The sequence below is a fragment of the Homo sapiens genome, chromosome 8, assembly GCF_000001405.40.
Source record: "Homo sapiens chromosome 8, GRCh38.p14 Primary Assembly".
Classification (NCBI taxonomy): domain Eukaryota; kingdom Metazoa; phylum Chordata; class Mammalia; order Primates; family Hominidae; genus Homo; species Homo sapiens.
In genome coordinates, this window is record NC_000008.11 from 7334197 (window position 1) to 7358948 (window position 24752).

The 24752-nt window shown below is 44.1% G+C and overlaps 2 protein-coding genes, 1 long non-coding RNA gene and 1 pseudogene across 3 annotated transcripts in view, besides 2 other annotated features; 2 read left to right on the forward strand and 2 right to left on the reverse strand.

The window, feature by feature from the left end:
• The window catches only part of FAM66B (family with sequence similarity 66 member B), a 56620-nt gene extending 35453 nt beyond the window's left edge, over window positions 1-21167 (reverse strand). Inside the window, exons 1-2 of the long non-coding RNA NR_027423.2 lie at window positions 20615-21167; window positions 14887-14950 (exon numbers count right to left, since the gene is read on the reverse strand). This is a non-coding gene — a long non-coding RNA (family with sequence similarity 66 member B). The remainder of the gene's footprint in view (window positions 1-14886; window positions 14951-20614) is intronic.
• Window positions 2919-4511, forward strand: USP17L4 (ubiquitin specific peptidase 17 like family member 4). Its single transcript, NM_001256874.1, has one exon. It carries the CDS (start codon window positions 2919-2921, stop codon window positions 4509-4511), a length of 1593 nt encoding a protein of 530 aa, NP_001243803.1.
• LOC402329 (ubiquitin carboxyl-terminal hydrolase 17-like protein 2-like) lies at window positions 7630-8824 on the forward strand (annotated as a pseudogene).
• Window positions 20809-20968: a silencer, noted in NCBI's record as "silent region_18890". NCBI's record gives its function as "represses an Ori minimal core promoter by ATAC-STARR-seq in GM12878 lymphoblastoid cells {active_cell/tissue: GM12878}" and the evidence as "EXISTENCE:reporter gene assay evidence [ECO:0000049][PMID:35858748]".
• Window positions 21229-21278: an enhancer, noted in NCBI's record as "active region_26961". NCBI's record gives its function as "activates an Ori minimal core promoter by ATAC-STARR-seq in GM12878 lymphoblastoid cells {active_cell/tissue: GM12878}" and the evidence as "EXISTENCE:reporter gene assay evidence [ECO:0000049][PMID:35858748]".
• Window positions 21321-24752, reverse strand: part of ZNF705G (zinc finger protein 705G) — a 30042-nt gene continuing 26610 nt past the window's right edge. Inside the window, exon 7 of the mRNA NM_001164457.3 lies at window positions 21321-24364. Within this exon, the coding sequence (NP_001157929.1) occupies window positions 23780-24364 (585 nt within the window). The 3' untranslated portion in view covers window positions 21321-23779. The remainder of the gene's footprint in view (window positions 24365-24752) is intronic.

Genomic DNA, 24752 nt, shown 5'->3' on the forward strand with positions numbered 1-24752 from the left:
GAAACATCAAGTTTTGGGGTCGTGAGTCTTCCGAACCTCTGGAGGGACTGTCTGTGTGTTTGTGTTCATGGTAGATGACATTCACTGTGTATTTCTGAATATGACCTACTGACGTGTAGGTTTGCGTGTGAGGTTATTGCAGGGGACTCGGTTTCCTATTTTCTCTTGGGGTGTGTTTCATTCGTCAGTTGTTGGGCGGCACGGGAAGGTGAAATTTTGCTCATGTGGCACATCCGTGGATCATTCTCGCCACCTTGAATAGTGGAAACTGGAATGCATTTAGAAGATAGGAACGGTGCTCTTCTTTCTTACCCTGGCTCGCCGTTTTTACATTGGTTTCTGAAGGGACCTCAGGCGCCCTGGGACTTGTGCTCTTGCTGGAACCCACATAACGCCGGAAACAGACAGACCGACTTGCCTGTTTCACGGGGTCCACTTCCAATGAGTCGAAACGGAAAATTTTCCCACTGGCATGTCAGTCATTTGGAACTAAGTCCTATTGATAATAAAGGAAATCAAACACAGGAGTGTGTGTATTCAACTGAAATAAATTCAGAAAGCCCTGAAAAAAAATCTCATTTGGTGTGCTTACAAATGGCATTTGGGGAGATTCCGGGTCATTCGTCCAGCTGCGAAAGCTACACCTCTGAAGCACAGTCCCTGTCCTTCAATCAGACTTACGTATCCGACGTGGTGTTTCCGTGGAAATGATTGTGGGAAATGGCCCCTTCCTTGTCTGTATTTGCTGATTAGATTTCATGGTCCCTTTCTCGTTAGGTGCAGTGATCAAAGTTGACCAACCCCAGAGGAAAGCTGCCCAGGGCACCACTCAGGGCTCCGTAGAACCACAGAATCTTGGGCGCAACCCTGCTCAAGCACCCAAATGTGCATACGAACAGGGTCTCCGTGTGACGTGTGTGAAAACTACAGTGTGATGAGCATGACTCGCAGACAGGTTATCGATTGGGCTCCCCTCAAAATCAGTTAGGAACATGAAAGCACACCGATGCCCAGGTCCCGGCTGCAGGAATAAGACCCTCCGACGTCTTGTGTGAAGCCACGGCATCTGCGTTGCTCATGCTTCTGGGGATCATTCTCCTGAAAATGGTGGCTTCTTTCTCCCTGTGGAGCATCTTTCTAAGCAGTGCTCCTTTCTTCCCCCAGGACACTTTACATCAGGCGCACGAAGCCTTCTGATGGACCACACCTGGCCCATGAAAAGACAAGGGAAAGAAACGGGGCCAAAGGTCACAGTCCTCTCATTCCATCATCCTCCTTAAAATCATCCGAATTTCATGGGCCCTGAAGCCAGGGCTGTTTCTTTAAAACTAGAGGCCTTGGCGCCGGGCCTCAATTCTGCCCTGTTCCTTACTGTCTAAGACATTTTGGGAAAATCCCTAGAGCCAGGATCTTCATTCCTGGTAAGCCAGAGAGCCTGAAGACACACCCAAATGCTGTCCCTCTTAGTTCAGGGAACATGTCCACTTTCGTCAGCATTACAATTTTTGCACCAAATGTGCTAACTGCAATTCCACCATACAATGCATAACTGGAAATGGAGGGAACATCTCAGATCATGAACAATCGATGCGAGAATCCAGGAGACACACGGCTTATTTTTGCCTTTTCCCTGTGAAACAAGGGCCAGCAGTAAAAAGGTTATGCTATCTTCTGTTTCACTCCCTGCTTTTAAACGTCTCCGATGTTTTCTTCTTGAGACAGGGCCTCATTCCCGTCACCCGGGCTTTTCTACGGTATAATTTTCCTTGTTTGCTTTTGTCAAAATTAGAACTTTTTATTTCATCTCTATGAAATGTTGAGCCATTATCACATACGTGTGGAAATAGTATCACCCATGCTGTGAGATACGTTGTTTTGATTTTCATCAGTTCTTTAATAAACAAAAGCTTATAGTTGGGATACCTTTGGATTTCTCAAGGTTTTTGTTTCATGTTTTCTTAAACTGCCGCCGCACGTCCGAAACCACTCACTATACAATGTCAGGACCATCTCTCTTTTCTGGCACACATAAATTTGGGGAATGTCATCAATTAGTCTCTCGGTGATTGCATGATTTCCCCAAAGTCTTTCACAGTCTACTTTGTGCGCTGAGTATCTCTTCAAACTTCAGTGCATGTTTCTACCATTTGATGCTTTAGTATTTGGCAGCCTAGCTTCCACAAGAGCATTTCATGCAAAGACCTGTCTTGTTCTCCACTGGCCGGTAATTTCACTCGGATAGAGAATCAATAGTCTGAACGTGGAAAGGTCATCGCTGGAAGGTCTGTTGGATTCCACGGATCTCTCCTTTATTATTAAGGAAAAATATACGCTGTGCTAAATACTATACTTCATTGACTATTCTCAGGTCAGAAAGTGCACTTCAGACTTCTTGTGCTTCCATCGCTGAGAGGATGATGATAGCTGCCAAAAGTACATACTTGGAAGTTCATCCCAGCACAAGCGCACACACACACACACACACACACACACACACACAGAGACACACACACGGTTTCATAGATAAAGATTTCTTCCCTGACATTCTTTTACCTAAAATAAGGCAACTGTGTGGCCACTGTCCCAACCCGGTTACACTCATATTATATGTGCCTATCACCCTGAGGAGTAATTTGATTCAGGTGTTCTAGAAGTCATGATGTGGGCTGTGTCTGTTGAATTCCCAGCGATGCAAGGGGACACACCCTGTGACTCATTCCTTAATTGAGTGCTGATATTTGATTGTTTTATCGCGCACCTGATGGGTGGGTGGGGTGTTCCCGGCTGGTGGGGGTGAGTTCTATAAGGGATGATGCGGCCAGAGAGCTCGTCATTTGAAGACTCTCTCGGAAGAGATAGCGTCTTGCTGCAACCTGCGGTCCCAGCAGAAAAACCTTGTGATCCTTGTTGCGGGCGACATGGGGGACGACTCACTCTACTTGGGAGGTGAGTGGCAGTTCAACCACTTTTCAAAACTCACATCTTCTCGGCCAGATGCAGCTTTTGCTGAAATCCAGCGGACTTCTCTCCCTGAGAAGTCACCACTCTCATCTGAGACCCGTGTCGACCTCTGTGATGATTTGGCTCCTGTGGCAAGACAGCTCGCTCCCAGGGAGAAGCTTCCTCTGAGTAGCAGGAGACCTGCTGCGGTGGGGGCTGGGCTCCAGAATATGGGAAATACCTGCTACGAGAACGCTTCCCTGCAGTGCCTGACATACACACTGCCCCTTGCCAACTACATGCTGTCCCGGGAGCACTCTCAAACATGTCAGCGTCCCAAGTGCTGCATGCTCTGTACTATGCAAGCTCACATCACATGGGCCCTCCACAGTCCTGGCCATGTCATCCAGCCCTCACAGGCATTGGCTGCTGGCTTCCATAGAGGCAAGCAGGAAGATGTCCATGAATTTCTCATGTTCACTGTGGATGCCATGAAAAAGGCATGCCTTCCCGGCCACAAGCAGGTAGATCATCACTCTAAGGACACCACCCTCATCCACCAAATATTTGGAGGCTGCTGGAGATCTCAAATCAAGTGTCTCCACTGCCACGGGATTTCAGACACTTTTGACCCTTACCTGGACATCGCCCTGGATATCCAGGCAGCTCAGAGTGTCAAGCAAGCTTTGGAACAGTTGGTGAAGCCCGAAGAACTCAATGGAGAGAATGCCTATCATTGCGGTCTTTGTCTCCAGAGGGCGCCGGCCTCCAACACGTTAACTTTACACACTTCTGCCAAGGTCCTCATCCTTGTCTTGAAGAGATTCTCCGATGTCGCAGGCAACAAACTTGCCAAGAATGTGCAATATCCTGAGTGCCTTGACATGCAGCCATACATGTCTCAGCAGAACACAGGACCTCTTGTCTATGTCCTCTATGCTGTGCTGGTCCACGCTGGGTGGAGTTGTCACGACGGATATTACTTCTCTTATGTCAAAGCTCAAGAAGGCCAGTGGTATAAAATGGATGATGCCGAGGTCACTGTCTGTAGCATCACTTCTGTCCTGAGTCAACAGGCCTATGTCCTCTTTTACATCCAGAAGAGTGAATGGGAAAGACACAGTGAGAGTGTGTCAAGAGGCAGGGAACCAAGAGCCCTTGGCGCTGAAGACACAGACAGGCCAGCAACGCAAGGAGAGCTCAAGAGAGACCACCCTTGCCTCCAGGTACCCGAGTTGGACGAGCACTTGGTGGAAAGAGCCACTGAGGAAAGCACCTTAGACCACTGGAAATTCCCCCAAGAGCAAAACAAAATGAAGCCTGAGTTCAACGTCAGAAAAGTTGAAGGTACCCTGCCTCCCAACGTACTTGTGATTCATCAATCAAAATACAAGTGTGGGATGAAAAACCACCATCCTGAACAGCAAAGCTCCCTGCTAAACCTCTCTTCGATGAACTCGACAGATCAGGAGTCCATGAACACTGGCACACTCGCTTCTCTGCAAGGGAGGACCAGGAGATCCAAAGGGAAGAACAAACACAGCAAGAGATCTCTGCTTGTGTGCCAGTGATCAGAGTGGAAGTACCGACCCACACTGAGGGGTACACACACACACACACAAACACAAATACACCCACAAGCGCGCACGGAAACACACCCACACCCACACAAACACGAACACCGTGAATCCTACATAAAGTAATGAGGAGCCCCAGTTTCTGTCTCTACAACAGGGACAATTGGATAGTGATGGCTGCGTCTCAGGATGAGCCCACATATGGGAAACATCATGTTTTGGGGTCGTGAGTCTTCCGAACCTCTGGAGGGACTGTCTGTGTGTTTGTGTTCATGGTAGATGACATTCAGTGTGTATTTCTTAATGTGACCTATTGACCTGTAGGTTTGCGTGTGAGGTTATTGCAGGGGACATGGTTTACTATTTCCTCTTGGGGTTTGTTTCTTTCGTCAGTTGTTGGTCGTCAAGAGAAGGTGAAATTTTGCTCATGTGGTACATCCGTGGATCATTCTTGCCACCTTGAATAGTGGATACTGGAATTCAATTGGAAGATAGGAACGGTGCTCTTCTTTCTTACCCTGGCTCGCCCATTTTATTTTGGTTTCTGAATGGACCTCAGGTGCCCTGGGACTTGTGCTCTTGCTGGAACCCACATAATGCGGGAAACAGACAGACCGACTTACCTGTTTCACGGTGTCCACTTCCATTGCGTGGAAACGGAAAATTTTCCCACTGGCACGGAAGTCATTTGGAACTAATTCTCATTGATACTAAAGGAAATCAAACACTGGAGTGTGTGTATTCATCTAAAATACATTCAGAAAGCCCTGAAATAAACCTCATTTGGTGTGTTTACAAATGGCATTTGAGGAGATTCCGGGTCATTCGTCCAGCTGCGAAAGCTGCATCTCTGAAACACAGTCCCTGTCCTGCAATCAGACTTATTTATCCGACGTGGTGTTTCTGTGGAAATTATTGTGGGAAATGGCCCCTTCCTTTTCTGTATTTGCTGATTAGATTTCATGGTCCCTTTCTTGTTAGGTGCAGTGATCAAAGTTGACCAACCCCTGAGGAAAGCTGTCCAGGTCACAACTCAGGGCTCCGTAGAACCACAGAATCTTGGGCACAACCCTGCTCAAGCACCCAAATGTGCATACGAACAGGGTCTCTGTGTGACGTGTGTGAAAACTACAGTGTGATGAGCATGACTTGCAGACAGGTTATCGATTGGGCTCCCCTCAAAATTAGTTATGAGCATTAAAGCACACCGATGCCCAGGTCCCGGCTGCAGGAATAAGACCCTCCAACGTCTTGTGTGAAGCCACGGCATCTGGATTGCTCATGCTTCTGGGGATCATTCTCCTGAAAATTGTGGCTCCTTCCTGCCTGTGGAGCACCTCTCTAAGCAGTGCCCTTTCTTCACCCAGGACACTTTACATCAGGCACAGAAAGCCTTCTGATGGAGCACACCTGGCCCATGAAAAGACAAGGGAGAAGAAACGGGGCCAAAGATCACAGTCCTCTCATTCCACCATCCTCCTTAAAATCATCCGAATTTCATGGGCCCTGAGGCCACGGCTGTTTCTTTACACCTCGAGACCTTGGCGCCGGGCCTCAATTCTGCCCCAGTGCTTACTGTCTAAGACATTTTGGGAAAATCCCTAGAGCCTGGATCTTCAATCCTGGTAAGCCAGAGAGCCTGGAGACACACCCAAATTATGTCCCTCTTAGTTCAGGGAACATGTCCATTTTCGACAGCATTAAAATTTTGGCACCAAATGTGCTAACTGCAATTCCACCATACAATGCGTAACTGGAAATGGAGGCAACATCTCATATCCTGAACAATTCATGCGAGAATCTAGGAGACACACGGCTTACTTTTGCCTTTTCCCACTGAAACAAGGGCCAGTATTAACAATGTTATGCTATCCTTGGTTTCACTCCCCACTTTTAAATCTCTCGGATGTTTACTTCTTGAGACAGGGCGTCACTGCCGTCACCCACGCTTTTCTACGGTGTAATTTTTGTTGTTTGCTTTTGTCAAATTTAGAAATTTTCATTCATCTCTATCAAATGTTGCTCCATTATCACATACGTATGAAAATATTATCACGCGTGCTGTGAGATACGTTGTTTTTATTTTCATCAATTCTTTTGTAAAACAAAGGTTATAGTTGGGATACCTTCTGATTTCTCAAGTTTTTTGTTTCATATTTTCTTAAACTGCCGTCGCACGTCCAAAACCACTCACTATACAATGTCTTGACCATCTCTCTTTTCTGGCAAATATAAATTTTCGGAATGTCATCAGTTAGTCTCTCGGTGATTCCATTATTTCCCCAAAGTCTTTTACAGTCTAGTTTGTGCACTGAGTATCTCTTCAAACTTCAGTGCATGTTTCTACGACTTAATGCTTTATTATTCAGCAATCTAGCTTCCACAAGAGCATTTAATGTAAAGACTTGTCTTTTTCTCCACTGGCAGGTAATTTCACTCGGATATAGAATCATTAGGCTGATTATGGAAAGGTTATCGCTGGGAGGTGTGATTGATTCCACGGATCTCTCCTTTTTTATTGAGGAAAAATATATGCTGTGCTAATTACTATACTTCATTGCCTATTCTCAGGTCAGAAAGCGCACTTCAGACTTCTCCTTCTATCGCTGAAAGGATGATGGTATCTGCCAAAAGCACATACTCGGAAGTACATCCCAGCACAAACACACACACACACACACACTCACACAGAGAGAGACACACACACGGTTTCATAGATAAAGATTTCTTCCCTGACATTCTTTTACCTAAAATAAGGCAACTGTGTGGCCACTGTCCCAACCCGGTTACAATCATATTATATGTGCCTATCATCCTGAGGAGTAATTTGATGCAGGTGTTTTAGAAGTCATGATGTGGGCTGTGTCTGTTGAATTCCCAGCGATGCAAGGGGACACACCCTGTGACTCATTCCTTAATTGAGTGCTGATATTTGATTGGTTTATCGCGCACCTTATGTGCGGGTGGCGTGTTCGCTCTTGGTGCGGATGAGTTATGTAAGGGCTGATTTGGCCAGAGAACTCGTTATTTGAAGACTCTCTCGGAAAAGATAGCGTCTTTCTGCAACCTGCGGTCCCAGCAGAAAAACCTTGTGATCCTTGTTCCAGGCGACATGGAGGACGACTCACTCTACTTGGGAGGTGAGTGGCAGTTCAACCACTTTTCAAAACTCACATCTTCTCGGCCAGATGCAGCTTTTGCTGAAATCCAGCGGACTTCTCTCCCTGAGAAGTCACCACTCTCATCGGAGACCCGTGTCGACCTCTGTGACGATTTGGCTCCTGTGACAAGACAGCTTGCTCCCAGGGAGAAGCTTCCTCCGAGTAGCAGGAGACCTGCTGCGGTGGGAGCTGGTCTCCAGAATATGGGAAATACCTGCTACTTGAATGCTTCCCTGCAGTGCCTGACATACACACTGCCCCTTGCCAACTACATGCTGTCCTGGGAGCTCTCTCAAATGTGTCATCGTCCCAAGTGCTGCATGCTCTGTATTATGGAAGCTCACAGCACACGGGCACCTCCACCGTCCTGGCCATGTCATCCAGCCCTCACAGGCATTGGCTGCTGGCTTCCATAGAGGCAAGCAGGAAGATGCCCATGAATTTCTCATATTCACTGTGGATGCCATTAGAAAGGCATGCCTTCCCGGGCACAAGCAGCTAGATCATCACTGCAAGGACACCACCCTCATCCACCAAATATTTGGAGGGTACTAGAGATCTCAAATCAAGTGTCTCTACTTCCACGGCATTTCAGACACCTTCGACCCTTACCTGGATATCGCCCTGGATATCCAGGCAGCTCAGAGTGTCAAGCAAGCTTAGGAACAGTTGGTGAAGCCCGAAGAACTCAATGGAGAGAATGCCTATCATTGTGGTCTTTGTCTCCAGAAGGCGCCTGCCGCCAAGACGTTAACTTTACACACTTCTGCCAAGGTCCTCATCCTTGTCTTGAAGAGATTCTCCGATGTCACAGGCAACAGACTTGCCAAGAATGTGCAATATCCTGAGTGCGTTGACATGCAGCCATACATGTCTCAGCAGAACACAGGACCTCTTTTCTATGTCCTCTATGCTGTTCTCATCGTCACCGGGTGGAGTTGTCACAACGGACATTACTTCTCTTGTGTCAAAGCTCAAGAAGGCCAGTGGTATAAAATGGATGATGCCGAGGTCACTGCCTCTGGTATCACTTCTCCTTTGAGTCAACAGGCCTATGTCCTCTTTTACATCCAGAAGAATGAATTTGGAAGACCCAGTTACAGGGTGTCCGCAGGCAGGGAACCAAGAGCTCTTTGTGCTGAAGACAATTGAATTGTGTGTGAAATAATATGTCATGAATAAATCTTGCAGCAGAGTATTTATTTGTCTCACTTTGTAATCAGTGAATGAGCTTTAACGAATATCAATGCCTAGTGCCTACCCCCCAGAGATAAGAACTTTCAGTCTCTCATGTGTAATCATGGCATCTGGATTGCTCATGATTCTGAAGATAATTCTCCTGTCCCCCAAAGTTTCAGAATCACTTCAGGTGGTAGAAACAGATAACACATCAGTCCCTTTCTCTCTCTTTTCTCTTCACTCAGGAAAACTCTCACTGGACCAAGGAAAATCCTATGGTTTACTAGGGAGGAGTAGTTTTCTCAGCAGTGAAAATGGTGGCTCCTTCCTCCCTGTCAAGTCTCTTCCTCAGGATTGCCCCTTTATCTCTCCAGGACTCTGCTCATCAGGCCCGAGATGCCCCCTGGTTGCGCATACTTGGCCTATGAAGAAATATGGGGAAGGAATGGTTCCAAAGACCATACTATGCTCACTCCACCATCGCCTCTGACACTATGCTGACTTCATGAGCCCTGGGTCAGAAGCTGTTTTCTTTACACCTCTAGGCCTTGCCTCATGGCCTAAAGATGTCCCCATTTCTTACATCTTATAAATTTTGACAAAACCCTCAGGGCCTAAATCTTCATTCCTCATAGGCCAAAGGGAGATACACCAGAATTCTGTCCCTCTGAGACTGCAGGACATCTCAGCTTCCATCAACATGAAATTTTGCACCAAATATAGTTACTGCAGTTCCACCTCACAATGAGTAACTGGAAGTTCAGACAACATCTCAGACTCTATACAGTTTCTGGCCAAGCTCATTTGGTTTAACAATGCTTTTACTCTATAAATCAGTTGTGAGAACACTTAGGATTCATATTATTTAGTATTTTAATCAGTCTGTTATTATTTTCAATGTGTTTACTAGACTTTAGTTTAATATTTCTGATAAACTTTGATGCAAAAATTCTCGATATAATAGTGGCAAACCAAATCCAGCAACATATCAAAAACCTTATCCACCAAGATCAAGTCAGCTTCTTCCCTTTGGTGCAAGGCTGGTTCAACAAACACAAATCAATAAATATAATTCACCATGTAAACCGAACTAAAGACAAAAACCCCATGATTATTTTAGTATACTCAGAAAAGATCTTTGATAAAATTCAACATTCCTTTATGTTAAAAACCTCAGGAAACTAGGTATTGATGGAACATATCTCAAAATAATAAGAGTCATTTTTGACAAACCCACAGCCAATATCATATTGAATAGGCAAAAGCTGGAAGCATTCCTTTTGAAATTCGGCACAAGGCAAGGATGCCCTCTCTCACCACTCCTACTCCATATAGTACTGGAAGTTCTGGCCGAGGCAATCAGCCAAGAGAAAGAAATAAAGCATATTCAAATAGTAAAAGAGGAAGTTGAACTGTCTTTGTTTGCAGATGACATGATCCTATATCTATAAAATCCCATCATCTCAGCCCAAAAGATTCTTAAGCTTATGAGCCACTGCAGTAAATTCTCAAGATACAAAATCAGTGTGCAAAAATCACAAGCATTCTTATACACCAACAATAGACAAGAAGAGAGCCAAATCACAAATAAGTTCCCATTTACATTTGCTGCAGAGTATAAAATACCTAGGAATACAGCTAACAAGGCAAGTGAAGGACCTCTTCAAGGAGAACTACAAACCACTACTCAAGGAAATAAGAGAGGACACAAACAAATGGAAAAACATTCCATGCTCATGGGTAAGAAGAATCAATATCATGAAAATGCCATACTTCCCAAAGTAATTCATAGATTCAATGCTATTCCCATAAACTACCATGGACGTTCTTTACAAAATTAGAAAAAACTACTTCAAAATTCATATGGAATGAAAAAAGAGCCCATATACCCAGGACAATCCTAAGGTAAAATAACAAAGTTAGAGGCATCATGCTACCTAACTTCAAACTATATTACAAGGCTACGGTAACCCAACAGCATGGTAGTGGTACAAAACAGACACATAGACCAATGGAATGGAATAGATATATCAGAAATAAGACTGCACATCTACAACCATTTTATTTTTGATGAAAACAAGCAATGGGGAAAGGATTCCCTATTTAATAATAAATGGTGCTTGAAAAATTGGCTAGACATAGGCAGAAAACTGAAACTGTACCCCTTCCTTATACCTTATACAAAAATGAACTGAAAATGGATTAAGACTTAAATGTAAAACCCAAAACTGTAAAAAATCCAACCCCATATAAAAGTGGGCAAAAGCTGGGTACAGTGGCTCATGCCTGTAATCCCAGCAGTTTGGGAGGGTGAAGTGGGCAGATAACTTGAGGCCAGGAATTCAAGATCAGCCTGGCCAAGCTGGTGAAACCACGTCTCTACTGAAAATACAATAAATTAGCCGGATGTAGTGGTGCGGACCTGTAATCCCAACTACTCAAGAGCCTGAGAGAGAAGAATCGCCTGAATCTGGGAGGCAGAAGTTGCAGTGACCCGAGATTGTGCCACTGAACTCCACCCTGAGTGACAGAGCAAGACTCTGTCTTAAAAAATAAAAATGTAAAAATTTCAAAAGTGGGCAAAGGACATGAACAGACACTTCTCAAAAGAAGACATTTATGCAGCCAACAAACATGAAAAAAAAGCCCAACATTACTGATCATTAGAGAAATACAAATCAAAACCGCAGTGAGATACCATCTCATGCCAGTCAGAATGGTGATTATTAAAAAGTCAAAAAACAACAGATGCTGGTGAGACTGTGGGGAAATAGGAAAACTTTTACACTGTTGGTGTGAATGTAAGTTAGTTCAACCACTGTGGAAGACTGTGGTGATTTTTCAAAGACCTAGAATCAGAAATACCATTTGACCCAGCAATCCCATTACTGCATATATACTCAAAGGAATATAAATTCTTGTATTATAAAGATACATGCATGGGTATGTTCATTGCAGCACTATTCATGAAAGCAAAGACATAGAATCAACCCAAATGCCCATCAATGATAGACTGGATACAGAAACTGTGATACATATACACCATGGAATACTATGCAGCCATAAAAAGGAATGAGATCATGTCCTTTGCAGGGACATGGATGAAGCTGGAAGTCATTATTCTCAGCAAACTAATGCAGGAACAGAAAACCAAATACACATGTTCTCACTTAATAAGTGGGAGATGAAAAATGAGAGAACATAGACACAGGGAGGGGAACAACACACACTGGATCCTGTCTGTGGGTGAGTGGGGAGGGAGTGCATCAGGATGAATAGCTAATGCATGTGGGCTGAATACCTAGGTGATGGGTTGATAGGTACAGGAAACCACCATGGCACACATTTACCTATGTAACAAACCTGCGCATCATGCACATGTATCCCAGAACTTAAAATGAAATAAAATAAAATTTTAAAAAACTTTATTTTTTCTAACCTTCCAAAATGCAGGGATTACAGGCATAAGCCACCATGCCTGGCCCTGTTTTAACATATCTGAACAAGATTTAAGACATCAGTTTGAAAAGAGCCCCTCTATGGCAGCAACATGAATTCTGTCAAACCTGAAGCAAGAACAAACATCAAATTTACGGTGAAGCTGGGGTACAAAAAATGGTGAAATAAATTATTCTTTATGAAAAGTCTATGGGAAAAATGACCTGAAGAATCAGTCATTTACAAACGGATACCTTATTCTAAGAAGAGATAATACAATGTTGAAGATGAAGTCAACAGAGGAGGGACATCCATACCAATTTTTGAGAAAAAAAAATCGTTTCTATGCTCTCATTGAGGAGGATTGACAATTAACAAGAGATACTGTAGCCAACATCACAGACATCTCAATTGGTTCAGCTTACACAATACTGACTATAACGTGAAAGTTGAGAAACTTTACATTTGATGAGTCCCAAATACCCTTGTGCCTAGATCAGCAGTGGACAAAAGCAGAGCTATTAGTAACTATTTTGAGCAAGCAGAATCAAGATCCTGAAGCATTATTTTGAAGAATTTTAACAGGGAGTGAAACTGGCTTTATCAATAAGATCCTGAAGACAAAGCACAATTCAAGCCATGGCTACCAAGAGGTAGAAGTGGTCCAGTCAAAGCAAAAGCAAACTTCTCAAAAGCAAAAGCCATGGAGGTTTTGGGGATGCTCAAGGTATTTTGCTTGTTGACTTTTTGTAAGGTCAAAGCACGATAACATCTGCTTACTAGGAGAGTTCTTAGAGAAAATTAGCAAATACTTTTGCAGAAAAGCGCCCTGTAAAGCTTCACTAGAGAGTCCCTCTGCACCACAACAACACTTCTGTTCCTTCCTCTCATCAAACATGGGTAATTTTGCAAGAGTTTTCATGGGAAATTATTAGGCATCAACATTACAGTCCTGATTTGGTTTCTTCTGACCTTTTTTTCCCTAACCTTAAAATAACTGTATAACTGTAAAGGGCACCCATTTTTCTTTAGTTAATAATAGAAGACTGCATTGACACGGTTAAATTCCCATTACCCTCAGTTGTTTAGCAATGGACTGAATGGCTGGGATCATCCTTTAATGGAGTGTCTGGACCTCAGTAAAGCTTATATTGAGAAATAAAGTTTATATTTATATTTTTATTGTTAATTCCATTTTTCACTGACATTTTTAAATCCCTTCACAATTCACCTTTGTCTCAAAGGTATTTAAATTTAGAAATCATATCAAGTGTGAAATAAAAAAATTATATAGACAGAGGGAGAACAGAATCTATAAATATGCATGTTTGTGTACATACATCCATATACATACATATGTGTGTGCATGCAATAATTTTATTGCCCTAAAGCAATGCCTCTGCCTTCCACCCTCACTGCACATGTCCTAGTCCTGTGATGTCCCTGGAACTGAGCACCTGATTTCCTTCTCTGCCTCCCACATGAACAGGGAATAGAAATGGAAACCACGTTCTGTGGTTGCTGTTGTGAAAATCCATGTTCCCCACAGGCTGAGTTTAGCATCTTACATTCTAGTTCTCATTGTAAAAAAGCAAGCAACAAACAAAAACTACAAAAGAAAAAATGAAATAGTTGAAAGTCTAGAGCCACAGAGGTTCCGGATCCACCCACCGCCCACGGTGACCTCCACAGCCCTCCAGGCCTGAGGACAGCTATGCCTGAACAGCCTGCCTCTTCACCATCCACACAGGAAAGTGACTTTAAACTTCAATAGCTATTACTCTGTTCCACAAGGAACCAGGCCAACATTCAAAGTCAGTGGTCTGACAACTCTAAGCTTTGGCCGGAAAGTATTGGAAACATTTAACGTGCAGTGGATGAAGCAGCCCGGCCCCACTGCACACAACACACTCACAGGGACTCAAAGGAAGAGACTCAGGATCCGCTGGGTGGAAGTGAGGACAGACCCAGAAACACAGGGGGTGGGAAGGGGTCAAACCAGGAAGGCTCAGGACCTGACCTCCTCCTAGGCCCTGCCTCTCTAGAACTCGCAGTTTTTTCTGACCTAGAAGCGGATTTCACTGATGGAAAAGAAGTTCAGTATTTCTGGTCCAGCCCAGTAAGCTGCTCCCATTGCCCAGCCTTCCACACCACTGCAGACGTCACAATCCCTGCACCCACTAACCTGACAAGGGAGCTATGCATCACCTGGAGACAGTCTTAGGCCTGCACTCCTGTGATGGGGTCCAGGGTCTGTGTCCATTTCTGGTTAAAATTGCTGTAAGGCTGGTCGCTGTCTTGGCCTTCCCTGCTTCCTCTCTGTTCAATTCTCCCCTCCTCACCCCATGTGAAGCTTTTACTCAGGAGATGGATTCTCACCCCTCTTGAAACATCAAGGATAGTGCCAGGACACTGCACCATCCCCTTGACCCTGGGATTCTGTAGACCTCAGTCTTCTCCTGAGGTCCCCTCCCTCCCTACCTCATTTTTTCCATACTTCTGGGGCCTGGGCCTGCTACACCTCAGGCTTCCTCTTCACAGTCACAGAGTGAGGGAGCCCCCTTCATCCTTGGGCTCTGGCCACAGCTCACCTGCTGCAGGACACTCAGCAGCTTTCAGTAGTTCATCCAGACATCCAGTTGGAAGTGAGATTTCCTGGAAGGAAAGCAGGAACCCAGAATTACACTGAATTCTAACACCAGGGCCCAGGTTCCCCTTCTGCATGGGACACTAAGCTGCAAACACTACATGGGCACTTAATGCTCAGCTGTCCTTCTAACATCTGGTCCGATTGTGTCCCTCCTCCTTGGAATATCTCAGAAAATGTATCTCCACCTAGAGTTCTTTGAAAGCATCATCCTATGTGATTCCAGACCATCAGGGGGTGCAATGGGTCCTCACCAGTATTTCCACTCTGCTTGGAAGACTTAGAAAATCCTGAGGCTGCTCAGAGGGTCAGCTTCCCATCGCTGTGTTTCAGTAAAACTTCAGTCTTCCCTGGACAAGTGAGGAGACAGAAAATGTCTAGTCTCTGGCACATCTTTTGCAAGCAATGGCGGCTCCCAGGAATCAATACTATCAACGAATATATTTTTGAGATTCTGGTCAAAAGAAGAGTCATCCTGCAATTTCAGGTAGGATGGAGTGGTTCTGTGGCTCCTGAGGTGATTTTGAAAAGATCTTGACTCTCAGAAGGACCAAGGAGGACATTTCTGGCATTTCCAGACCAGGAAGAGTGACTGATGGACCTCCAGTGTTACTTGGAAAAATTTTGTTGGACAGCTTTGTAATAAGAGGATCTTGCTTTGGCTTTCAGGCCTTCACATAGGTTGTTTAGATCATGGAAGTGTTTCTGCATTTCTGCATAGGCTCAGGATGCCTTCTCAAGTCGTCCCTGCAATTATGAGACAGTTGCTTTCTCCAGAGGTCACTTAGAATAATACAAGAGGCTTCACCCTCAAAGGGACACCAGACAATATAGCCACAGTCCAGCCAAGATTATCTGTATTTACATACCTGTAAAGTAACACTCCTAGTGATCTCCATTAACTTGGACATCTTTCATGAATAGGGAAACTCTAGTGATTGTTATATAACAGCTGCCACAAAAATTAATCAATAAAAAGAAACGATATATGAAAAATAATTAATAATCATGATAATGAACTCAATGACCTAAATAGTATGAATTTTAATACTGGAGACAATATAAATGTAAGGATACAAAAATTAATGTGGAGCTTCCCCTAAATATATGAAAACTTCACAGACTGTGTCCTCCTTGTGTAATTTGGAGTCAGAGTCAAAGAATTTCTCTATGAAATGTGTTCCATGATGGCAAACATCAAAAACAGGAGGTGAAAGAAAAGCAAGCCGCAGGAGACCATGGGCTAATATGAACATTTGTGTGCAAACCTCTCTCATCAAGAACTACCAGCCAGAGGTGAAGGGACTGTGATTTGTGTCCTGCCCACCACTGGGCACACAAAAGCTTTCAGTAGTGCAACCAGATGGCTGGTTTGGCCTGGCTCCCTGCAAGGAAGACACGTCTCTGATCCCCACCAGCCCATCAGTCCTGGAACTCAGAATCCTACATGCAGTAAACATGAAGCTCCAACTCCATAGCTGACTTTACCTCCTTACTGTCCTTCTGCCATCTGGTGTTTCAGGTGCTCTCCAGATCTGGACTTCTTGGCTCCCCTACCTTTACCAAGTGAACTCAGGATGTATCATTCTCAGTCTTCTCCTGCCAGTCCAAAGTGAAACTCACCAATACAAGCATACCCTGGATGGGCTTTCTTGGAATATTTAGAAAACAATGAGCTTGCTCGGGGGTGGTGTGAGCTCTAGGAGTAGAGTTACAGTCTCCCATGGAAACCTGAGAGGACTTAGAATATTCCCAAAGGCCTAAGCAGTCCAATCTGTCCTGGAAACATCAGGAATGATATACTCGGTCTTCCTGAGGCTCCAAAATTTTTCCAAATAAACTCAGAGATTACAGAACCATTTTTCTCTTGGGAACTGAAGTGGAGTTATTTGCCTTCTGCCAGCATCTCACTTTTTTTTTTCTCTAAGTTAGCTTTTGAGCCCAGAAGTAGATATTCCTTGTATTTGATTTACATAGGGAGCTTCCTAGAATGCCCGTGCCTCTGGATAGTTTCTGCATTCACTCAGGTATTGACAAAATGCTGCAGTTCTACTGAAAATCTCTGAGATGACCATTTGATCACCTGAGTAACTTTTGAATGTGTCTTCTATGGAAGCCCTGGAGCCTCCCTTCTGGTATTTCATACACTGCCGGTACCAAGTATCCTGGGTGAAACCCTCCATCAGACATTGTTGGCAATTCCAGTATGGAGATGACACTAACGTGATGGGGCTCAAGAATCAGATGGTAGAAGAGCAGCTGGGAGGTGAAGTCTCAGTAGGCTAGGGGCTTAATGTTCAATGCACACCAGACTTCTGAGACTCAGGAGGCATGTGTGGATCTGTCTGCCCAGTGTCTCTCATCTACAGCCTGGACCAGCTATTTCTTGGGGTGAACTACTGAAGGCTTTTGTACGACCTGTGTCAGGCAAGACTCTGGCCAGACCCTTTGCCATAGTCCATTTGTAATGCATTTCCACATGGCACAGGTATCTCCACTTTTGCCCATGCTCTCATGTGGCTCAGAATTATTCTCCCTACTGCCACTCTTCTTTGCCATCACAGAAGATATTTCAAGGTGTAGCCCTAAGCTTCTCCATCTAATCAATAACATGAGGGTTCGTATGGGAACATTGTCACAGGCTTACAGGAATATGTTCTTAAATATCTGCTTTTCTATTACTCTCTTCATTAAATTGACATTTATATCATCACCATTATGATTGTTATTAATGTTATTATTATATTGATACAGTTCTTTATCATGGATATATTTGTGGTCGTTTTTATGCAATGTTGAATAATTGTTTTATGTTCCTGAAGACTGTTGAATTTGCTGAAGATGATTAAAAGACAACCTTAAAACATAAATACCACAGCAACCCCAGGAATCCTACTGTACTGCTTGGTGTCCTGTAGAAGAATGGGCTTCCTGAATTATTCTTTTATTTTTCAGGCAAGTACCTATTCATACCAGCATAGGAGACTGATGAAGTGCACCCTCATCTTGCCATGGTCTCAGAAAGAATTCGTACATATGCTTTATGTGATAGCAACTCTATGTGTAGGCCTGTGAGCCCTAGAATGCACTTTCTTTCACCAACTAGTCCACCTAACAGTTTTCTAAGTCAAATCCCCTCTCCATGCTTGGATAGGTCATGAATGGCTTTCTGTTACCCACCTAAGATGAAGGGATATTGCTAAATCAGGTTTGTGGCCAAGAAACTTTTATCTGGAGTGGCAGGAGAGGGCCTACCTGTTCACCAGAGTGTCTGCAACATTTTCTTTTTTTTCCTTTTTATTTATTTATTTATTTATTTTTTGAGATAGAGTCTCACTCCGTCGCTCAGGCTGGAGTCCAGTGTCGCGATCTTGGCTCGCTGCAACCTCTGACTCCCAGGTTCAAGCGATTCTCCTGCCTCAGCCTCCTGAGTAGCTGGGATTACAGGTGCGTGTCACCACACCCAGCTAATTTTTGTATTTTTAGTAGAGAGGCGGTTTCACCATGTTAGTCAGACTGGTCTCAAACTCCTGACCTCATGATCCACCTGCGTTGGCCTCCCAAAGTTCTGGGATTACAGGCATAAGGCGCCGCACCTGGCCTCTGCAACATTTTCTAAGTCGGTATAGAAGCTCTTTGAACCACCTTTTCAGTCAAAGAACTCATGAAAAAGTCCTCCAAGAACTTGTGACCTTCTGGAAATTGTCAAAATCTCTACAGGTGTCCAGAGTCATCTAGATCTGTATTGCAAGCCACTGACTGGGTTCCAACATTATTAAAGCAAATGCAAAATATGCCATGCCCACCAAAAAAAATCCAGAAGCCATGGTATTTAGCTGTTTCCATCTTTCTTGCCTCCTGCACGTGGGAGAGTACTGAGTATCATGCCCTCCTACAGCCTCTGGAGGACATGCCAATGTCTAGGGGTACCAGTAGAGAGGGGCCATGAAAGACAGATGACAGCCAGGTTGCTGGGAATGACATTGTCCTGGGGCTTATTGCTTGTCATGAACTCTGCCACTGGGCAACATATGCAGGTGTGGACCCGTGCCTTCTCTGGATCCCTGCCCCATCAGCCAGCTGTCTTATCTCCTGAAAGCTGATAGGTGTTGGTCAGCATGGTGTTCCAGGACCAGGGTTATATTAACATTCTCTCTTAGGCTGAAACACCAGAAGTTAACACAGGAGTCCCCAGGTGTGCACATACTGACCTCCAGATTGTTTTTCTTCTCGTTCTAGATGTTCATCCTTGCTTTTTGGGACTTGAAATAACCCTACACAGCCAAATATTTATGCCTATTATCCACTTATGGAAAACTTATATGTCCCAAGTCCATAGGGTTAGTATTATTATCACTATTAAAACCATTAGTACTAGTATCATGATGATCATTATTCCTGTTAATATCCATCAATATTTTTACTACTGCCATTGTTAATATGGATTTTTCATTATTGTACAGCAATGAATATAGTTTATCCATTCACAAATGGTGTTCAGTTACCAAAGATGACTACAAGGCATGTTCTACAGACATATACACACACAGCTGTCCTGGAGACCCAGCTTTGCCACCAATTGCTCTTTCATAAGATGAGATCCCCCAGTACCCACCAGTTTTTCAGGACTCGACCTGAGCTGGCTCAGCTAGACCTGGAAAAGTTTCCTATGCCCAAATGTACTTGGAAAAATTTTAAAGTCTCTTCAGAGGCCCAGTAATAGCTTTTGGCAGCTTCTAAGACCAGGGAGGGTTTCTTGGCCATTCAGAGCCATTCAAATATTCCAAGTAAACTCAAGGATCCAGAAACCCCACTTGCAGTCATGAAATACCAGTGAATGGCCTCTGTGAGTCTCTTCAAGGTTTTCAAAGATGACTGCCTGAGAAGGCTGGCCAGGAAGTCACCCAAGCCCAACCTTCTGCAGGACGTTCTATGACAGCCAGGGACCCAGGGAATTGCCATTGAACAGAAGGGAGGAACAGAGACGGCATGCCTGAGCTTCTGGAAACATTCTAAGTGCCCTTGTTGGCCCAGAAAAGACTGGTGCTACCATATGAGGCACAGACTTGGCAACCTACCTACTCCAGGAACCACAGAAGGTTTAAAGGTTCCCAGGAAGTCCCAGGAAGGGCAGCCATAGCCCTTTAGAGCCATCAGATTTTATTCTAAGTCTACTTGGGAGACAGTGCTCTTAGCTTCATAAAAACACCAGTGGAGGTGCTAACACTTGCCCCAGTATCCAGTCTTTTCTACCTCATCTCAGAGCCAGGAAGCCACTATTTCCCAAAGCTGCTGTGCAATGAAAGGGGAATATTCTAGGTGCTCTCCTGTGCCCACGAAATTCTGTGGCTGCGCTGAAAGGCAGGAGATGTCCTCCGGAATGCTCTTCAGAAATCTGACAACACTGGTCAAGATTAAAGAAGCTCAATTCAACGTCATACAAAACCAATCCCAAATATATATATATGCATAGTGAGACAAAATGATGAACACATCTGCTAATAATCATGAATGACAATAATAACAACAATGATGATCTTAGTGATAATGCCACCAACACTGTTAATGGCAATAACAATAAACCTGAGGTAATGAGTGTTAGGGTCCCGATTCACCGATGTGAAGGATGGCGGCAATTTCTGGCCTCACAGAAATAAAGGAAAAGTAAACACCTGGAGGAGGAGGAGGTGAACCTGGAGCTCCCGCCGGCCTCTGGGCGCTCCTTGGTGGAAGGAGAGGGACTTGGTCCTGAGCCTGCCCCGGATCCACCTACACCAGAATCCCAGAGTCCCAGTCCCTGGATGGGCTCAGTCCCAACCAGGCCAGACGCCCCGGAGCCCCGTAGCCCGGGTCCTCCAGCCCTCGCTGCCGCCGCTTCTCGCGGAGCCGGGGCCGCCCCCGCGCCACCTCAGCCTCTGCGGGGCTCTGGGAGGGCAGCGCCGAGGATGCTCCGGGGCCAGCGGGGGCATCCGGGCCCAGAGGGGGTATCCGGCCTCAGGCGGATACTGACGCCCTGAGGGCGCGGAATAGGGCGGCCTGCGCAGGGCCCGCCGTCTCGGCCTTGCAAAAACAGCGGCCTCTTCAAAGCCCCTACCGGAACCTCCCCGGAGGCCCCAGCCTCAAAGCCAGGGCGATGGCGCTTCCCTGACCATGGGTGAAGAAAACTCAGGTCCTCCCTGGAGACCCGGCCCGCCGCGGGAGGCAGACCGCGCATGCGCCCTGCATGGCCGGAAAGATGGGTTTCATTGCCCTCTGTCGGCCATGAGGTGGCAGCACAGGACGTTTGGCCTTAGCGGTGGACCTGAGTCTGAATCACTGAAATTCAGGTGTAGATTATTCAGTACTTTTCTTTTGGAAGATCAAATGGAAATTGAGTATGATACCTTGTGCTTTAATTAAAGAAGATGGAAATAAAGAAGCAAATTCAAAAATCAGTATACAAAAGCCGATTGATTCCCTCTATGTGGAGGGAAGACGAGCTTGAATAAGAGAAGCATTCTGTGTTACGCTTTAATAATGGCTGGAGATCTGCCACCATGCATTTGTCAAATCCCATAGAATTTCACAGCACAAATAGTACATCTTAATGTGGTTCAGGAGTACATATAATGTCAGTCACAGTTTGTGGGTAAATTACATATTTAATTAAATAGATTAAACAATAAATAATGATATGAGCTCTGCCTGGACACAGTCCTTGCCTCTCCAACCAGTTTGCCAAGGGCTTGAATTTCTTGCTCATTATCCTCACACTTGACATAAACCCTGGCTGCAGAGTAAAATCAATCACTTGTAGAGATTTTAAAATATAATGATGTGTCAACTTCAACCATGGATAAGGCCATTTAGCCTTAGTAAGGCCGATCGTATTAAGATTGTGCCTGTTTGGCAAAATTTCAAGTCATCCCACTTAATATTCAGGAAACATTTTCTCTTCAGTTTTAGGTTCAGTGGTGAGGCTCCTTCACGGACAATACATTTTTCAATTCTGAGGACAAGGCAGAGGAGGGCCCCTCTGTGAGAACTTTCATTTTGCTTCAGGAAAAGTACATTGAATCAAATATAGGAAAGGCTTGCAAGGTGGCTGACAGGTTCGGCTGTTTTATCATGCTGGTGTTTTATCTTCTGGACTGCAGTAAAAGGAGCACAGCTGTGTCTGTCTCTGTGTAATAACTCAGGACTTACCAGAATAAAATGTGGGGTGTTATGAGATGAACTGCTACTTCCAGTTAGAGAGGCTCCAGGGACAAAATTTCAAGAGTCTTCTGAGGGATAGAAGAGAAGAGCTGCCTTATTCTCTGATCCCAGTTAACTGCCTAGAGACAGAGGAAAGGGCTGCGGACACCCAAATGCATATACAAGGTGTCTTTGATACAGCCTCCATTTCCCTGCTAAATCTATGCAATGACACACTGAGAAATCTAGCAAGTGGGGCTGAAGATCCCTGGTGTGTCAACTCGAGGGTTGGATGGAAACAAGTGGTTTTAGTGGACGTTGAAGTAAAGGGAGGTGAGCTGTGAGGAAAGAGCTGTTGAAGACTGGGGAGACTCAGAAGTTGGGGTAGAATCTCGACCAAGAATCTCACCCAAGGAGTGCAGGTGCAAATCCATTTGTTAGGGCCGCATAAATGAAACAAGGGCTTTGCCAACATACTAAGTTTTTTCAACAACAGATTGTATTCTTTCAATATTTGTAAGTATTGATCTTTTGGAAAAGTTTAATGAGATTTCTTATATAATTCTGCACGCAATTTATTCCCTGGTCACTTTGCTATTATGCATTTACATGCCACATTTTTATGAATAGATATTTTCTCAAATTTCTGAATTATTTTGCTAAAGTATGTGTTAAGAGTTTTTTCTAGGGGTCCAACTTCTTGACTCACTTTTCTGATGAGAAATCTATCAGGTTTCTCCACAGTGATTTTCAAGTTTGATAGCTCCTCAATGTGAGAAACTCAATGTCAACTAAGAAATGAATTACCACTAAAGAATTTTCTCCTTTCAAGATGCTAACCATGTTTTGTCCAGTGAGAAATCTCACATGTGCCACATGTGTTGCTCTATGAAGAAAGGATTTCTCATGATTTTTCATTGCATAACTTCTCCAGTAAGAAGTATTTGGTATTCCAAGAGAATTCATTGCCCTTGGAAAGATTTTCCCTTCTTATTTAGCTCATGAAGGCTTTCCTCTCTTATTTTCCATTTTAGCAGCATTTTGTCACTCTTCTCTTGTGAACATCAAGCCTGGTGCTTGGCTGAATGTTCATTCACAGAAAATACAAATAAAGGGTTCATCCAAGTAAAGTTTTCTCATGTTATTTGACAATAAATTGCAAATAAAAACATTTTCACACTGAATGCAGAGTTAGAGATTCTCTACCTGAAAGTCCCACATGTTTTAAGTTATAGCTGTTGCTGAAGACTTTTAGTTGATTATATTGACAGTTTCAGCTCTCTCATGTCACTTATGCTCAGATCACTAACAAGTCTTTGGTACATACATGTCATACAATTTCTCTTCCATATGAATTTATTGATGTGGACTGAAGAATAAAGGTAACTGAAGTATCTTCCATGTTGATTACAGTATTTCTTCAAAATGTGAGTCCTTTGGCATGTTTAGATGCTACAACTACAGCTGAAGTCTCTTCCACATTCCTTACCTTTGTCATTCCTAACACCGTGTCATCTAAAGTCAGAATATGTTCTGAAGAAGTTTATAATTTTCTCTCCAGGGTGAATTTTCTGATGCTCTTTAAGATTAGTACATTGTCTGAAGGCTTTCCCACATAAATGGCATTCATATGGCTTTTCTCCAGTGCGTGTTCTCTCATGTCATCTAAGGTTGGAAGACAGACTGAAGGCCTTCCCACATAGAAGACAAGCATGTGGTTTCTCTCCAGTGTGAATTATTTTGTTTCCTCTAAAGCCAGAGCTTTGACTAAAGGCTTTCCCACTTTTATCACATTCATAACACTTTTTTCCAAGGTGAGTTCTCTCATGTCTTTGAAGGTTAAAGGATTGAATAAAGACTTTCCCATATTGATGACACTTATATGGTCTCTGTCCCGTGTGAGTTTTCTCGTGTCTTCTAAGGTGAGAACACTGAGTGAAGGCTTTTCTACATAGATGACATGCATATGGCCTCTCTCCAGTGTGAGTCATCTTGTGCCGTCTAAGGTGAAAGCAATTAGTATAGGCCTTTTCACATAGATTACACTGATATGATTTACCTTTAGTATGAATTTGTTTATGTGGTTCAGTGGACAAAAGATTACGAAGGGATTTTCCACACTGTTTGCTGACATAGGGTTTCTTTCCACTATGAGTTAACAAACACTGAGTTATTGTGGAACTGCGAGTGCAATCTTCTCCCGAATCATTACATTCAAAAGGATCCTCCAGAATGAGAGAGTTCTCCTTTGGGGCAAATATTAAAAGCTCTTAATGGTTTACCCACATATATCTATACATTCATTTCACTACCTTTGAATCCTAGACCAACCATTCAGTGGTAGACCCCAGTTGAAAGCTTTCCAATGTTTCTTGTGTGAAAGGAAATTAAATTTTGGGACCCCAAACTCATTTAACCAAAGGGAAAAATCAAGCTGGGAACTGGGTCACACAAACCTGCCTCCCCCTTCTGGTTCCTAAATAATATGGCTACAAGATGAAAAGCTACACGCCTCCCCCATATTTTGCCCATGAGGAAATTCCTCATGAGCTGTTAAAATTGCACCATGGCAATGCAAACTGATAACTTTTCTTTACAAGTGCAGTCATCCCCAGTTCACCAGGCACAAATGCA

Bases quoted from the DNA above. Each gene is read 5' to 3' on its own strand.
- USP17L4 (NM_001256874.1), top strand. From the start codon at position 2,919: ATGGGGGACGACTCACTCTACTTGGGAGGTGAGTGGCAGTTCAACCAC.